General features: G+C 39.5%; 1 protein-coding gene across 2 annotated transcripts in view; it reads right to left on the reverse strand.

The window, feature by feature from the left end:
* Nucleotides 1-18,704, reverse strand: part of RERE (arginine-glutamic acid dipeptide repeats) — a 465,237-nt gene that overhangs the window by 193,493 nt on the left and 253,040 nt on the right. For both annotated transcript variants that reach the window (NM_001042681.2, NM_012102.4), the window contains 2 exons: nucleotides 11,522-11,627; nucleotides 10,579-10,675 (listed from right to left, as the gene is read on the reverse strand). In NM_001042681.2, coding sequence (NP_001036146.1) covers nucleotides 10,579-10,675; nucleotides 11,522-11,627 — 203 coding nt within the window. The remainder of the gene's footprint in view (nucleotides 1-10,578; nucleotides 10,676-11,521; nucleotides 11,628-18,704) is intronic.

Consider the following 18,704-nt stretch of genomic DNA (forward strand, 5'->3'; position numbering starts at 1 on the left):
ATTGTCTTGATCTCCTGACCTCGTGATCTGCCTGCCTCAGCCTCCCAAAGTGCTGGGATTACAGGTGCAAGCTACCATACCCAGTCTTTTTTTTTTTTTTTTTTTTTTTTTGAGATAGGGTCTCCCTCTGTCACTTGGGCTGAAGTGCAGCGGTTTGATCTCAGCTCACTGAAGACTCAACTTCCCAGGCTCACGTGATTCTTCCAGCTCAGCCTTCCCGGTAGCTGGGACTACAGGTGCGTGCCACCACACCCAACAATTTTTTGTAGAGCTGGGGTTTCACCATACTGCCCAGGCTGGTCTCAGACTCCTGGGCTCAAGCAATCTGCCCAGCTTGGCCTCTCAAAATGTTGGGACTACAGGTGTGGGCCACCATGCCTGGACAAAAATAAATAAATAAAAATAAAAATAAATAAAAATATATATATATAATTTTAGTTTGTACTTCCCCTTTTGCCCAGGAGTTGCTTAACAGGAAGTTTTAAATTTCCAGGTGAAAGGGTCTTCTGTTCTTTGTTTTCCTTAGTAAACTACAATTTTATTGCATTTTAATCGGAATGATTTTTTTTCTGTGATCTAATATATGACCAATTTTTGAGAAGGTGGCAAGATACACAAATCAATGTGTATTCTTTATTATTACAGGATAGAGTTCAAAGTATGTCTGTAGGCCAGGTGTGGTGGCTTACACCTGTAATTCCAGCACTTTGGGAGGTCGAGGTGGGCAGATCACAAGAGGTCAGGAGTTCAAGACCAGCCTGGCCAACATAGTGAAACCTTGTCTCTACTAAAAATACAAAGATTAGCTGTGCATGGTGGTGGGCGTCTGTAATGCCAGCTACTTTGGAGGCTGAGGCAGGAGAATCGTTTGAACCTGGGAAGCAGAGGTTGCAGTGAGCCAAGATGGCGCCACTACAAGGATGGGCGACAGAGCAAGACTTCGTCTCAAAACAAAACAAAAAAAAAAAACAAAAAAAATTAAGATTATTAGCTTAGGGGGAAAAAGTCCAAAACTGTACAAAATCTGTAACAAGGAAGATTTTTAAACACTCCTGAAAGACAAAAAAGGGGATATGAACAATGGTAAAACATCCATGTTCTTAGATAGGAAAACTCAAACTGGCATTTCTCCACAGATTAATTAATAAATCCAATACAATCCCAGTACAAATACCAACAAGCTTTTTTTTTAAAAAAAAAAAAACAAAATATTAAGCTTCACATGGAAAAACAAATAACTAAAAAAGAGGGGAACATATATTAAAACATACTATAAAGCCTCTGTAATTCAGAGTGTAGTGCTGACACATAGACAATAGAACAACAAAACAAAAAAGCAAGTACAAAATACATATGGAAAGCAAGACAATGGTGACATCTCAAACCACTACAATCAACATAGGTATTTTAATAAGTAATCCTAGAACAACTGGGTAGAATTATTTTTTAAATATGGTGTAGGGAAAGGCTTTCTAACTATGACTCAAAATCCAGAGGCAATAAAAGACTGATAAATTTGATTAGATAAAAATACATTTTACACAATAAAAAATACAACAAATAAAATTAAATGAAAACTGACAAAAGTGGGAGAAAAATATTTGCAACAATTGCCATGTACCACGGTTGTATAAAGCACTTTTTAAAAGTAAAACAAAAAGAAAACCCAATAGAAAATACATAAACAGACAATTTACAAAAAAGAGACAAAAATATCCTTCAAACATATGAAAAAATGTTCAAACTCATTGTTAGTGAAATAAAATAAAAACATGGAGATAACACTTCTCACCTATCAGACTTGTAAAAATTTAAAAAGACAAAACATTCTATTAGGAAAACAGGCTGCTTCATACTTATCAGAAGGAACACAAATTGGTACATGCCAGCTGAAGGGAAATTTGGTAATATGTAACAAACCGCATAGGCATAAACCTTTCAACCCAGCAATCCCACTATTATAAATGCACCCTGACGTTCCCAATGATAAGAAAATATATATGCACAAAGATATTCATTGCAGCATCATTTATAATTGCAAAATCCTAGGAACAACGTAAATGCTCATGCACAAGAGAGCAGTTATATCAACTACAGTATATCAACATAAGGAAGTAAAAGAGAATGAGAAAGTCCTCTATGAACTGATAAGAGCAATTCCCACAATATACTGTCATCAAGTGAAAAGAGCAAAGTACAAAAGACCATCTACAGTATTCTACCCTTCATATAAGAAAGACGGGGTTTTAAGAAAAGAGGCATGTATCTGCTGATTTGTGAAAAGAAAATGCTGGAAGGATGATCCAGCAAGTAAAATGATCAGTAACCTAGAGCAGCAAGGTGGGAGCGAAGAGGGAAAGAAGTAGAGGATGGGAACATGGTGGCAGGGTTGAAGAGTATCTTCTTATAACCCTGACTCTTAGAACCACAGCAATAGTCCACATGCTCTCACACACCCATAAAATAAACAGTCCAGGTCAACAAGGAGAAACCAAAAATAGGATGTAAACAGCAACAAATGAACCTAAATGTATTACAAATAAACAAATGCACATAAGGAGGTAAGAAAGAACAGAACTGACCTAAGTAAGAGGAAAAGCAGTATTTGGCACTATAAGACCGAAAACAAAAAGAGTCAATAAACGGGTTTCTCACCAAGACGTGGGTTACAAATTCTGAAACTAAGTTGTATGCATTTGAGAATTAAACAAAAACAAGTAAGTATATTTTAGACAATGAGAACTGAGTTTCTTCTGTGTTGGAGAAAGCAGTTATAAATAACGGAAAGTGAAGAATAAAATCTTCAGGCCAGGCCCAGTGGCTCACGCCTGTAATCCCAGCACCTCGGGAGGCTGAGGCGGGTGGATCCGGAGGTCAGGAGCTCAAGACCAACCTGGCCAAGATGGTGAAACCCCATCTCTACTAAAAATACAAAAAAATTGGCCAGGTGTGGGGGTGGGTGCCTGTAATCTCAGCCACTCGGGAGGCTGAAGCAGAGAATTGCATGAACCCAGGAGGCAGAGGTTGCAGTGAGCTGAGATCACGCCACTGCACTCCAGCCTGGGCAACAGAGCAAGACTCTGTCTCAAAAAAAATAAAATAAAATCTTCTAGTGTTGGACTGGAATTGAAATTAATATAACCTTACAAGTCTGGAGTTAGGGGAAGTTAATAGGCACAGGCTGGTATACATACACATCCTAGCTCTGCCTGCTAACTGGATCTAGAAACAATGATATCCAGTAGTAACACACATGCCTAATACCCAGATCTTGGTTTCTAAACACTGCTCTCCACTAAAGGGAACCCCGGTTCCTCACAGAATGGCTAATTCCAGCGCTGGAAGTTAGAAAATAAAAAACGAGCCTGAGAACATCTTGTGGAGCTAGAAATAAGAAAGTGCTCAAAAAAATACAGAAGTTTGCTGATAAAGTGCAGGGGCCAATCTGAAGTAGCTCCTAATGGCCAAAGCTGGGCAATAAAACAAAAAATAATAAATTATAACAAAACAAAATAAATATCCGTAAGTTCATGCTGATGTAAATACTCAAATAGATTTATGGGATAAAAGGGAGATTTCTTTACTACAGTGGAATTCCAATTAATAAGTGTAGAAGAAAAGAAAAAAAAATGAAAAACCACCATAGGCAAGCTTCACAAAAGTAACTTTTACAGGTGAAATCCACTGATAGGTGCTTAAAATCACTGGGTGAAAATTTAAGGAGATAAATGATTTGCAGAGTGTCAAAGTATCTCCCAGGTTAATTAAGCACAGGGGAAAATCTGCTTTACAGTGAAGAAACCTGGCAGAAGCCACATTCATCAAGTGGACAAGGTCAATGTCACCAGTAATTAGACATTATCAACCTCATGAAGCCCATGATAAGATGCACTCAGAAACATGTAATTTCTGTGGTTCTTGCCCAAAATGCCTAACTTCAGAAAAGCCAAATTGAGGGACATTTGACAAAACAATTGATCAATAATATTTACAATACCAAGGAAGGTCATGAATGGTAAGGAAAGACTGGAGAACCATTACACACTGCAGGAGACTAAGGAGAAATAATTAAATGCAATGTGGGATCCCATATAAGATCCTAGAACAACAACGAGGACATTGCTGAAAATCAAAGAGAATCTTTAGTCTAATGCTATTGTATCAATGTTAATTCCCTGGTTCTGATAACTGTACTATAGTTGTAGAAGAAGTTCACATTGTGGGAGGTTAGGGGAGGGATATATTGAACCTGAGTACTTGTAACTTTGCTGTGTGTCTAAAAATAGCTCCAAATAAAAGAAAGTTTTTCAAATACTATGAAGTACTCAAGGGCAGACGGAATATCTTACTGGGTAGGTTCCCATCACCAAATATAGAGCCCTTCATCTACTAGTAGATTAATAAAAAGTGTTAAATGATGAATGAATAAATAAAGCAATTGACAGGTTATGATGTCTAATGAAGTACTAAGCATGTATAGACAAAACAATAAAAATGCTGTAGGTCAAAGTTATTTCACATATAAAAACAACTGTAGATTAAAGCCAGATAAGGATTCTTAAACTGCAAAACTAAGAGCTCTGAGACACCATGAAACTCCTTACAGAACTTGCAGGAGCTAAAGGGTGTTTTTTGTTGTTGTTGTTGTTGTTGTTTTTTGTTTTTTTTGAGACAGAGTCTCGCTCTGTCACCCAGGCTGGAGTGCAGTGGCACGATCTTGGCTCACTGCAACCTCTGCCTCCCAGGTTAAAGCGATTCTCCTGCCTCAGTCTCCCTAGTACCTGGGACTACAGGCACCAGCCACCACACTCGGCTAATTTTTTGTATTTTTAGTAGAGACGGGGTTTTGCCATGTTGGCCAGGCTGGTCTTGAACTCCTGACCTCAGGTGATCTGCCCACCTTGGCCTCCCAAAGTGCTGGGATTACAGGCGTGAGCCACCGTGCCCGGCCACTAAAGGATTTTTAAATGTTTTAAGGAATGGTTGGGAAACTGTCCACAGATGTGACTAATCTGTTTCAAGCCCTAAACATATACATGAACCTAGTTGCTCATAACAAAGTAGGGAGATAAATTAATTTATAATGAAAAGAAACAGACTGGAAGCCTCAAACAGCTAATTTAGGGCTCCTTGGCCCTGGTCTTCCAGAAAATTCATCCTAAAGCATCTTCCTATAATAGGAGCCCCTGGGTAAAATGACAGCCTATAACCTGACCTGCAGTAGGATATTTCTTTCCCCAAGTGACTCCTCCAAATAGGAAGCAGGTAATCAGAAAGCTGGAAAACAGTCCTCAGTCAGCAAGACACTTACGATCTCCTGTGCTGCCCTCCACAATCAATACTGGAGAATGCACTGATGCGAGTACACAATAAACCCAAGAATGTTCCCCAGGTCACATGTCCTCAGTCCAATCACAAAGCAATCACTCCAGATCCTTGGATCCTTAATAAAACATTATCCTTAGGGGAGAAAAAGTAGCACAGAAAACAAATTACAAGTTACAAGTTTATCTGCTCGTTCTTGGAGTGTGTTGAGATAGCTCCCTAAGCTGAACTCTTCTCCATATACCTGAAGGAATCTAAATATCTAATCCCTCCTCCGCCAACAGGCCACAGAGAAATAGTAAAATAAGTGTATGCTGAGTGATTACACCATCATTAACTCAGTACAAAATTACACTTAATTTCACTTTTTCTTTTCTTCCACTTATACTTTTAAGAACTCAGCAGAAATTCAATGAGCTATGGAGTGTACTACACATGTTACTAGGGCCTGAGATGCTCTTTGAGGGACTTTCACACTCCTTACCATACTGGATGTGGAACCAGATGTGTGTGTTTGGTTCAGGATTCTGTCATTAGTCATGTGACCTTGAACAAGTTTGTCAAAGGTTAGCTCAAACGTTAAAAAACGTGACACTGGCCACAAGGCTACAGCAGAGCCAGGACTCAAACACAAGTCCTCTAACTTCAGTCTATTATACCACAATGCCAGCCAAAAATTCTTACCCGGGAATAAACAGAACTCAAAAAATATTCAAAATGCTAACTTTACTCTATGGTGGTTATGGATAAAGTGTGATGAAATAAGATCAGCAGCTGTAGAAACTTACCTTGAAAGGTAGAGATAAGGGATAGCTAAGGTCAAGAATTCAAAACTAACAGCAATGCAGTAATGCTGAACTTCAACACACATTTCTACAACTGCGAAGGGCTCAGATTTTCTTATAGGAAGAAACTCTGGTAGGAAAAAGCTATAATCTCACAATTTACAAAGAAACTACAGGGCATTTTGTTTTCCTTTTGATTCACCATGGCTAAAGGATAAAGCTCTCTCTCCTCCTTTATAACCCAACTCTAGCACCAGCTTGAAAGCAAACCTTATACATCAGTTTCCTCCTGAGTGAATGGAATGGCAAGAGCCCCCTCAGAGTTACTGTGACCGGATGAAACCACACAACCGAGCCCTTTGATCTTCAAGAAGAATGGTGCTAAGCACTAACATGATCAGTCTTTTTCTTTTTTCTTTTTTGTTCCCCATGGTTTTTTTCATTACATTTGTTTGATCCCTTTTCATGTGCCCACAGACTATTTTATTTGTATCTCTCTCAAAATTGAATTTATTTTTAGTAGTACTGGTTTATAACTATGGAGAAAGAATAAATTATTTCTGTGAATAAACTATGAGAAGAAAATTGGAAAAAAAAGGTAAAGCTTAACTTTAACCATCCCCCACCAAATACACCCCAAACATTTTTTAAGCTAATCTACCTTCGTGAAGAGAAAGAGAACAAACAGAGACTGCTGGGGGGCACTGCCATCCCATTCTGTTTTATGGGAGTAATGGGACAGGCAAAGCTTCTTTCACAGTGAGCGCTGCTGCCAAGAGCGAGGCCGGATCACTAAGTGACAGCAACGCGACCCTGCACCATTAGGGAAGTGCGTCCACACACACGTGTGACCCTGCACCACTGGGCCAGCACGTCCACACACACACAAAACTGCACCACTAGGCCAGTGCGTTCACACACACGTGACACCACACCACTAGGCCAGCAAGTCCACAAACACTCATGACACCACACCAGTAGGCCAGCTCGTCCACACACATGTGTGCAACACTGCACCACTAGGCCAGCATGTCCACACACACGTGACACACCAGTAGGCCAGTGTGTCCACATATACGCGTGCAACACAGCACCACTAGGCCAGTACATCCACAAACAATCGTGACACCACACAAGTAGGCCAGTGCATCCACACATGCGTGTGCGACACACCACTAGGCCAGTGCGTCCACACACACGTGCAAAATTGCACCATTAGGCCAGCATGTCCACATGCATATGAGACACTGCACCATTAAGCCAGTGCGTCCACACACACGTGACACTACACTACTAGGCCGGCACGTCCACACACTCATGCAAAATTGCACCACTAGGCCAGCACATCCACACACACACGTAAAATTGCACCATTAGGCCAGCGCGTCCACATGCACGAGACACTGCACCACAAAGCCAGCGTGTCCACACACACGTGACACTGCACCACTGGATCAGCACATCCACACACTCACGCGACACTGCACCATTAGGCCAGCTTGTTCAGTGACCAAACAACCACCTGTCATCTGATGTCTTTGAAAAAAATCCAAGTCACAAAAGGATGTTGTATTTGACACTTACAAAATCAAATTCAAGGTAAAAGTTTTATAAAGCAGCTACCACTTTTTATGACCACTTTAAAGAAAACACCACAGGAGAAAAAAAAACTAATTAATGAGGATTATAATTATATACCCAGTGAAAAGAAGATAAAGTATTACCACTGTAGCACTCCAGCTGTGGTGGCCAGTGAAAGGACAGTGACTTACACATTTACACATCTCCAAGAAACATCTGATTGTAAACTTAGCTACAGTAAATTCATGGAAATCAGATGGAATTATTTAGGATAACTTGTTCTTCTAAAAATGCTAAAGATAAAAATGGGCCAGACGTGGTGGCTCATGCCTGTAATCCCAGCACTTTGGGAGGCTGAGGTGGGTGATCACTTGAGGTCAGGAGTTCAAGACCAGCCTGGCCAAGATGGTGAAACCCTGTCTCTACTAAAAATACAAAAATTAGCTGGGCATCGTGGCACATGCCTGTAGTCCCAGCTACTCGGGAGACTGAGGTAGGAGAATGAATCACTTGAACCCAGGAGGCGGAGGTTGCAGTAAAGTGAGCCAAGATCAAGCCACTGAGCTCCAGCCTGGGTGACAGAGCAACACCCCGTCTCAGAAAAAAAGATTCTACAAATCTCAATACCAATGATAAGTACTCAAATATGTTGATTTTAAGCATTTATGTCAAAACATGTTGAATACAGTTACATATCTCACATATTTGTTCAACTGAAACTCTAAATCGATTAAAATCTTTTCCCTCAACCCGTGAGACAAGACGGAAACAGGAAGGAAAGAGTATGCAAACCAGTGTAAGAAGTATTCCAGGATTTGGCTGAGTGCGGTGGTTCACACTTGCAATCCCAGCACTTTGGGAGGTCAAAGTGGGTGGATTGCTTAAGTTTAGGAGTTCAAGACCAGCCTGGGCAAGATGGTAAAAGCTCATCTCTATGAAAAATACAAAAATTAGCCAGGTGTGGTGGTGCACACCTGTAGTCCCAGCTACTTGGGGAGGTAGGATTGCCTGAGCCCAGGAGTTTGAGGCTGCAGTGAGCCATAATCTCACCACTGCACTCCAGGCTGGACAACAGAGCGAGATCCTGTCTCAAAAAAAAAAAAAAAAAAAAGACAAGAAATATTCCAGGATTAAGTCATCGGTCCCAGCTAACAATATTCCAGGATTAAGTCACCGGTCCCAGGTAACAATATTCCAGGATTAAGTCACCGGTCCCAGCTAACAATATTCCAGGATTAAGTCACCAGTCCCAGCTAACAATATTCCAGGATTAAGTCACTGGTCCCAGCTAACAATATTCCAGGATTAAGTCACTGGTCCCAGGTAACAATTTAACTGTTCCATCAATATAATCAACCCTGCATTAACTTCCTTTGTTCAGCAAGTGAGCTTAAGCTTGGAAAGCCAATCTTAAAAGTCACACAAAGCTTGTGGAAGTTCACAAGAAGTTTATAAAACACTGAGAAACTCTCTAAATTCATCTAAATTCCTGTAAGAAGTCAAACCTAACTACATCCATGCCATACCCCACAGCAGAGTTGGCAAACTATGGCCAGAAAAGCCATATCTGGCACACCGCCTGCTTCCTGTGGCCTGAGAGAAGAGTTTTCCCATTTTTAAATGGCTGAAAAAGAAAGCAAAAGAAGAATATTTCCTGACACATGAAAATTAAATGAAACTCAAATTTCAATATCCATCAAGTTTTACTGCAGCCCAGCCACTTCATTTATTTCCATGTTGTCTATTGCTTTTATGCCACAATGGCTGAGCTGAGTCACTGCAACAGATACCATGTGAAACATCAGCTGACCCGAAAAGCTTGCCAAAGCCTGCCCTAAAGTTGCTACTAATTTACCTTGAAATAACTGACTTTAGCTATGTAGCTTTGCAAAAAAGACTCCAGGTGGTTTTCCTGAATACCATCTGAGCATCAGAATGGAGAAATTATTGTAACTCATTGTAGTTTTAAGATAAAAGCTACCAAAATCCTAGTATTTTGTTAAAACCATATTACAGTACTTAACAAAAAAAAAGTAGTCTTTCACCACTTTATTTCCAGTGAGGAAAGGGTTTTAAGAATATCAGTAGTCTTACTTCCTATACCACTTAAAAGGCACAAAGTCAGCCATACACACACAAAATGAGCCATTATGGGCATCCTTTTCTTGAAAGAGACAGAAAATACCCAAAGATGCAAATGTCATGGTCATTTTTTTGACATAATTTCTGAAGACATTATGACTGGCTGGAATGTTACCTTCTGCCTCAGAATGAAATCTTCAATATCTTTCTACCCATCTCCTCCCCCTGCCAATGAAGCTGTATAGTAGGAAATTTTTCAGACATACAGAAAATGGAAGAATAGTTCAATGAAAATCTCTATAAATTTTGCCTGGGTTCTCAAGTAATTACACGCTGCCATATCTGCTTCATCCATTTCTCTGTCTTTTCTAGTGGCAGGAATTAAATCTTTAGAAAGTAAACTGCAGACCATCAGAACACTTTTTCCCACCTCAGCTTCCCAAAATGCCAGGATTACAGATGTGAGCCACCACACCTGGCCCATCGGAACATTTCACCCACATACTTCAGCAAACAATACCAGGATAATAATTTCCAAGGAAATGAAGATACAATAATATAGAAACAGCATTAAAAAGTAAATTATCAAAAAAAAAAAAGAGAGAGAGAAGTAAAGCTAGATTAGTGAAGACACGGAGAACCTCTGCAATCTCAACAATCCAGAGCGGACACTGGCATGTTCACTGAGGCCAAAAGAGGAGTCTGATTAATACAGTGACTACTAAAAGATCAGGAGAAATTACTCTCCACCTCCTGCACTCAGTGACTCCTCCTTCACATGGAAGAGCACGTCTCCAGTACTTACCTAAGGGCAGCAGCATGGTAAGTGTCAACGTAATCAGAAATGAAGAGCTCTCGGTTCTTGATAACTGGGTCTGTAATGACAAGTTCTCTTCCAGAGTCTGTCAAAAAATTAATTAAGACGACATTAAAACTGAGTTTCCCAAAACAAGTAAAAAAAATTTGTAAAACTTTTCTTTCACGTTTACCACCCACTAAATAACCGGGCCTGGTTAGCATCGTTAAGTATGCAAAATAGAGAAGAGGAATCATAAATTGCAAGAATAACAATAACAGAATGTACAGTTTTTGTCAACAAAGTATCTTCTTGGCTATGTTTTATACCCCTTAGTAAGACCCTATATTTTGCCAAAATGGATTAAGCACAAATGGAAAAAGAAGAAAAACAACTATCTTATCCTAGCACCTCCTTCAACTACCAAAATACTTAGTGATCCTGTCTTATTTTTCTTGCTAAATATTACAAAATGGAGTGAACTTACACAGTTTCCATTGATAAGAATATTTTTAACAAGGAACTATAATTTACACGCTTTAACAGAGGTTTTTTTATAGTTTCAAAGAAGGAAAAAAAAAAAACAGAAAGATAAAAAAAGAACATCATTCTTCCAAGCTGTTTTTCATTGGTTTGTTGACTGTGAGAAAAGTGGAGCAGGATCAGGGCCAGGCAAAGTTTGATGCCAGCGCCAGCACTGCCACTTAGACAATGCATGGCCCCAGCAACGTCCTTAGCATCTCTCAACCTCAGTTTCCTCATCTGGAACTAGAGAGGGACAGACCCACCTCACGTGACTAACTGGTAGCCAATGTGAATCATCAAGCATAAGGCCTACCAACACTCCAAAATCCATTTTTCAAAAAGTTATCTTCATTTAATGAAATGTCTTTAGAAAGAACTTTGCCCAAAGCTAAGAAACACACAAATCAAACCACAAGGACATATTTACCATTTTCATTATGTCGATCCTGAACCAAATGCTGATACACAGAATCTGGAACCTCAGATTGACGGTAGTACCATTTGACGTTCATGAGGAGATGGTCCCTCTTACTCTGAAAAGGAAAATCTAACAGCATTAGGAACAGGATTTCAGGTGGCCACAAGTGCATATCATACCCATGACCAAAAGCCCCTGTAAACGGGTGGACACGTAGATAGGGAGAGACACAATTACCATCAGGACCACAACAATACATAAGTCAGTTATGAGGTCAAGTTTTGTTTTTTAAAAACACCCATCAATAGATCCCTCTCACCTTACCCCTCTAAACTGCTTATTTCAGGAAACAAAAGGAGACCAGTCTTGAATCTGTTTATCTCCCCAGTTTAACTAATCCATTCAAAATTACATTTTTATTTAACATTAACTATACAATACTACATTAATATATCCTTCTATTTTAATCTTTAATCATTTTGGTAAATATTTAGAGTCAGTGTTAGCTGACTGTCAAGGCTCATTAAGGGCAATAAGGCTAGAAAGAACTTACCCCACAAGGCCTGGCACAAAATAATCTCTTCTCCAAGGTTTGCCTATTACCCAGACTAAATCAGATTCTCCTTCCACTGTTTAGCCACAGTTATTGTTAAGTGCCAAATGAATATAGCGAAGAATGGGTGGTGATGAAGGTACTATGAGTCCAGAGACCTCATCTCATTTATTTCCGAATCTCCAGATAATAGAACATCTTGTATAAAATTATTTGTGAATAATGAAGAATTTTATGATTATCACATAAATGATCCTGTAAATGTTTGTAGGACACTGCACTATGTTATCCCTAAAAGTTAATTTTGTTCCCAGTTTGTTCAGAGAATAAAGGATCAAATATTGCCCTTCCATTAGCAAGTTATGGGGCTGCAGCTTGCAAAAGATCATCTCTGTGGCTGGTCAAGAAATAGCTCAACAGGGAGTGCACTGAGGTTCCCTGCGGCCTCCTAAAATACTTTTCCAACCCATGTGCGGCCTTAACAGGCTTCTCCAAGGTGAATGCAGTATCATGCCTTTCAGCAGCCTCTACGTTCTCATCACAGGCCCGTTGGTCAGTAATGAATGAGAGCTAAAATTCAAGAAATGCCTCATGTTTATAAAGGGGATGCCTAAATCCTAAAATATGATAAAAGAGCCCTCATTAATGAAGGAAGATGCTTCCTGCTTTAACGAGCAAGTCACAAATATAGCCAACACTAAAACACCAGGAAGGTTCCAAAAAACCTTTGCTAAAAAACACTTAAAAGCCATTTAAAGAATCAGAAAGATGACAATTGCCACAAGTTTCAACAGAACTCAAATGTGAAGATGTGTTATTTCTTTTTTTTTTCCTTTTCTTTTTTTTTTTTTTGAGAAGGAGCCTCACTGTGTCGCCCAGGCTGGAGTGCAGTGGCGTGATCTCGGCTCACTGCAACCTCCACCTCCTAGGTTCAAACGATTCTCCTGCCTCAGCCTCCCAAGTAGCTGGGATTATAGGTGTGTGCCACCATGCCCAGCTATTTTTTGTATTTTTAGTAGAGACATGTTTTGACAATGTTGGCCAGACTGGTCAGGAACTCCTGACCTCAGGTGATCCATCCACCCACCTCGGCCTCCCAATCTGCTGGGATTTCAAGCATGAGCCACCACGCCGGCCGAAAATGTGCTGTTTTAAAGTAAATACAAAAATTAGCCGGGTATGGTGGGGCATGCCTATAATCCCAGCTACTCAGGAGGCTGAGGCAGGAGAATTGCTTGAACCTGGGAGGCGGAAGTTGAGGTGAGCCAAGATCGTGCCATTGCACTCCAGCCTGGGCAACAAGAGCAAAACTCCAGCTCAAAAAAAAAAAAAAAAAAAAAAAACAGAACAAAACAAAACAAAAAACCAAAGTAAATAACATAAATACCAAGATTCTTTTTTTGCATTTAACTGTGCCAAATACACATGCCTACAAAAATACGGCATCATCACTGGTTTAATTACACTTTATACATAGAATAATCCTACATGATGAGTACTCTTTAATATTTATGCATTTTATGCCTTTATATTAAAATTTCTGATGGCAAAAAAAACTTTCTACACTGTTTATGCTTCAGATGGGAAAAAGAGGACATACCAGTATGTTAAATAAATAGAATAAATGTTACATGTAGCAGTTTAGAGAAATAATTACTTTCAGCAGGGGATTATGGATGTGCTAACATCTGACTTGAGAAAAAATGGGAGAGATTTCAATGAATTTTTTCATTGAAATAAAGATAGACAAACTACTGAACATATCCAGACCCCACAGTCCATCTGCATGCATCAACGAAGCCATTCTGGGGAAATATGGAGAAGAACCTGAGTCCTGACTCTGTCTGGCCTTTAGTGAGCTTACAGGACAACTGGAGTTTTCTAACTCTATTGCTGACCAAATACACAGGCAGCAAGGGACAAATCGCCAGGACATGGGAGAGCAGCTAGAAAGTGTAGGAGATCAGGATATACCACCTCAAAATATGCTCTCTGGCACAAGGATTATTTAGCCAAGAACTTAAGAGGGGTAGAGGAAAAATTATATTTTGTCTCCAAGAAAACTTAGTTTCTTCCCTCGGCAGGATAATAAAAAGCAGGACCAGGATAAGATTACTCATTATAGAAAAAATATATATAAACCAGGGGAAGAAGCAGCACCTGTTTGGCAGTGCTTGGGGATGCATTCAGTTAAAATACGCTGTCTATAATAAGGACTTGCTCAACCTCAGCACTACTGACATTTGGGCCAGAGGATTCTTTGTTGTGGGGATCTGCCTGTGCACTGTTAGATGCTTATGACATCCCCGGCTTCTAACCACTAATTGCCAGTAGCACCCATCGTCCAGTTCTGACAACCAAAACTGTCTCTAAACATTGCTAAATCTCCCCTGTGGGGACAAAATTGTCCCTAGTTGAGAAATCACTGGTCTAGTAATTCATTTTGTTTTGTTTTTTAAGGAAAACAAAATCAGAATGGCAAAAATAAAACCTGGTTCGAGCACTACAGGGTAGGGAAGATGGCCTACTGGAAAGAAGATGGGAAGGCCTGTGGCCCCCTCCAATCTCAATTCCATGACTTCCCATGTATGTGACTTGGGGCACATTACCGAGATTCTCCCAATCTCCCCTTTTCTGTAAAAAGGAGATACTGAAATCTACCTAAAATAATTACTGAAAGAATAGAAAAGACAGAAAGCATCTAGAACTGAGTAGGTGCTCAATGAATATTGTTTCCTCTATTGGTAGGTGATTGTAACCAATAGTTCACAGAAAAATCTGAAGAACTGTGCCGAGAAGTGTGGGAGTTACTTCTTCACCAGAACTTGGTTTCCTACAAGGGATGATAGTGATCTCTAGTCACTGAGCTACTAATACATGCTTCAGTGCTCACAGAAATGTATTACTTCACTGAGCATACAGGAGTCCAGATCTACTAGCACTCCTAACAACAATCTTTTAAAATCTACCATCTATGTATTTCTGCAACACATTTAAGACATCTGAAAACCTGAAGGGCAACAGAAATACCTTTTAGATACAGTAACTCAAATTTGTACAATGTCTATCTTTCAGAACCAAGCCAGGGATACTGGTGATCTTCTGAAGTACAATATCTATGTTATCTTATGGTGTAGGAATACCTACTGATTACACACACAAATAAATTAACTGCTTTGGTTTATTTGTACCTAGATGTATGACTCCTAATATTATACTTTACAATGGCAGTGAAGGAACTATTGGATTCCCCAATGCAGTACTATGCAATAACCAGGGAGTGGCAGCATTGTGCTGAAAAGACTTCACAATCAATTCCACAGATAAAACACACAAAGGTAGACTGGAAGTAAACAACAATTTGAAACAAATTTAAGTAGCTGTAATATCCACAATCTTTCTAAATAGGCCGGTAACTTAATTAAAAATGAAAAGTCCATAAAGGGAGGCAGTGTGTGGTTTCAGCAGTACTAGATTACAATTAGGTAATCTAGGATTACAGTTCAGTCTGCAACTGCTAGTTGCAACCTGAGTGGAGTCCCCCAACCCTATGAAAAGTGAAGGGGTGGAACAAAATTGTTTCTATGCTCTCTTTCCATTCTTACATGTTTATATCTAGATTTCCTCCTCAAACAAAACCAAGTAGATAAAATGATGCTGTGGGAGAATCTCTAATTTTTTCTCTGTATCTGTGCAATGGCACTGGCTAACGGTGCCATCCTAAAGGTTTACAAATTAAAATGTCACCTTCAGTGGAAGCTGGCCACTGCTATAATACTGAGGGAAGAAGAGAGCATCCCCTCCCTGAGTAAGTGTTCCCAGAGCTACCTCAGACACAAAAGTATTGCTAGAAAGTTAGACACAGGTAATTATGTAATTCCTACTACTCACTAGTTGAAGAATTTTGTTCAAAATCACAGAAAATTAAAGCCAGACGTGAATTTAGAGATCATGCGATTCAAGCAAAACTGTCTAAGTTTGAATCCTGGCTCTGCAACTTACTAAGCTATGTGACTTTGGGCAAGTAACTTCTCCAAGCCTCAATGCTCTCATATACAAAATGGGAGAAAACCAAGTTTCTACCTTATTTGGTTGTGAGGATTAAATAAATTAATATAAAGCAAGTGGATGAGCTCAAAAAATGTCAGATATTACTATCATTGTTTTACAGAAAAAGAGAGCAGCAAAGATAGAGAGAAAAGAGGTCCCTTAAAGTTTTTGCTTTTCTAAGATTCAAAATTATGTTAGTAATAGTGTCATACAGCAAATTAAGAGGAAAATGTCTTCATTTTTCCAACAATTCTAGAAGCTTGTCAAGAATTTCTCAACAAATAAGCCTCATTTTTTACTACCAATATAATTTAACAATGGCATAAATGTCAAAATGTTTATAAATAATATATTTCAAACAGAATGCAGAATAAAGAGGGAAGTGAAGCTTCCTGTGTGAAAGCACCCTAGGGTGTACTTCTGAATAGTAAGAGGAGACCACTGGGAAGTAAATAACTTCTCACCAGTTTGTTTGTTTGTTTGTTTGTTTGTTTAGAGACAAGGTCTCACTCTGTTACCCAGGCTGGAGTGCAATGGCACCATCATGGCTCACTGCAGCCTCGACCTCCCAGGCTCAAGTGATCCTCCCGCCTCAGCCTCCTGAGTAAGTAGGAACACAGGCACCCAGCTAATTTTTAAAATTTTTTTGTAGAGGTGGACATCTTGCTATGTTTTAAGCCACTAAACAGGAGCACATCCAATCTGCTTAACAATAAAGTTTCAGGACTCTGGGCAAAAAAAAGGGGAGGGGGAGTTGTTTCTGGGCTAAATTATAGACCCTGGCTGGATTTCTCTTGAAATGAAGAACATATGTCGATTTAAGGAGATTAATAGAGGACAAAATCCATCCCCCAAATCTGGGCTTAGAAAAAAGATCCTTATGGTAGCTATCTGGGAGCAGAATAGCAAAGATTTCTACACATCTTTGAATAACAGACAATAGTCTGTTGAGATTTAACAAATTTAAAATAACTGAAATGAAACACTCAGAACTAGATAACTGACAAGCGGTAGACTAGGGGAAAAGGAAGGCAATGGAAACAGGCAAGGCCAAGAAAAAGTTGCTGTTGAAGGGCAACTGTGTTGTCATCAGCAACACACAACACAGTCTGCCCAAACACAGACACAGGGTCTAACGTTGAGATGGAAACTTCCTTTCCTAGAGATCTTTCATGATTATTAATTTAGTGTTTTATCAATTTAAATAGCCTGAGTCTTTCCTAGAAACAGTCTTAATATCAGCCTCAGGGCAATGTTTTTCCACAACATAAAAATAGTAATAATAATCGAGGGGGTATCTGGATAGTTCATAAATACCAATAGGACTAGGGCAGAGAGAGAGAGAGAGTCCTTCACACAGAGGTGGCCTGCAAGCCAGACAGAACAACTGTAAATTCACCTACGATACAGAGGAAAGAGCTTCTTTGTCCCACTGATCACCAGCTGATGATACCTGCCACCAGCTCACAGCAGGGATTATCAGGTCCCCAAAGCCTCCAAAACAGACCACTCCTGTCCCTCTGTGTTATCAAATGTGACAGAGATATCAAGGCCAAAGACAGCCTCAACAGAGTACAAAGATGGATATTAGCAAATAAATAACTTTGCCAAGTCAAAACAATCTGCTGGAGAGAAGAGGAGTAACCTCCTGCATATATTTAACTGCTTAGTCATGGGGGCTCTTGATTCAGAACCAAGTGAAATCAGATCAAAATTCTTACTCTATAAGCCAATATAGCCAACCAAGTTTCTCCAGAAATTTGGGATGAAGTGGCTAACATGTGTATACTGTATGGCTTAAAAAGATACTTTCTGAAGAAACTTTTCATGCATTTCCACAACATGGTGATAATAAGGTTAAGAGTTGTCTGAACATTAGAGGTTTACTGTATAATTCAGAAATGTATACATAAAACTTTTAATTGGTAGTCAGACACTAATTAAGCATACAGAGGGGGGAACACCGTCTCCCAGAGACATCACTATCTCCCTTCAAGTGTGCTCACCAACCAGTTTAAAGAGGCATTAACTCTGCCAGTTGAGCCCACCTCCACTTACAGGACAATGACTGTTAGACGTGTCACCTTAGCTAAGACCTTGGGGACACAGTCATAATGGCTTTGATCATTCCTGACTTCAAGGGAGAAGGGTAGGGACAGACAATGGGGTCAAAGATCACTATTCTTCAAAGATCAAAGCTAACTCCAGATACAGACTGAGTAACCTCTTATCCAAAATACCTGGGACCAGAGGTGTTTCTGATTTCAGAATTTTCTAGATTTTGGAATCTTTGGGTATACATAATGAGATATCTTGGGGATGGGACCCAAGTCTAAACACAAAATTTATTTATGTTTCATATAAACCTCATACACATAGCCTGAGGGTAATTATATAAAACATTTTAATAATATATGCAGCCTGTCACAAAGGTCAGATGTGGAATTTTCTACTTACTGCATCATGTCAGCACTCAAAAAGTTATGGATTTTCAAATTAGAGATGCCCAACCTGTATTTATTTACACAGGTAAATCAAAACTAAAGATAAGCTTTCTGTACCAGTCATAGTTACCCAACTTCATGGATA

This window comes from Homo sapiens, chromosome 1, assembly GCF_000001405.40.
Source record: "Homo sapiens chromosome 1, GRCh38.p14 Primary Assembly".
NCBI lineage: Eukaryota > Metazoa > Chordata > Mammalia > Primates > Hominidae > Homo > Homo sapiens.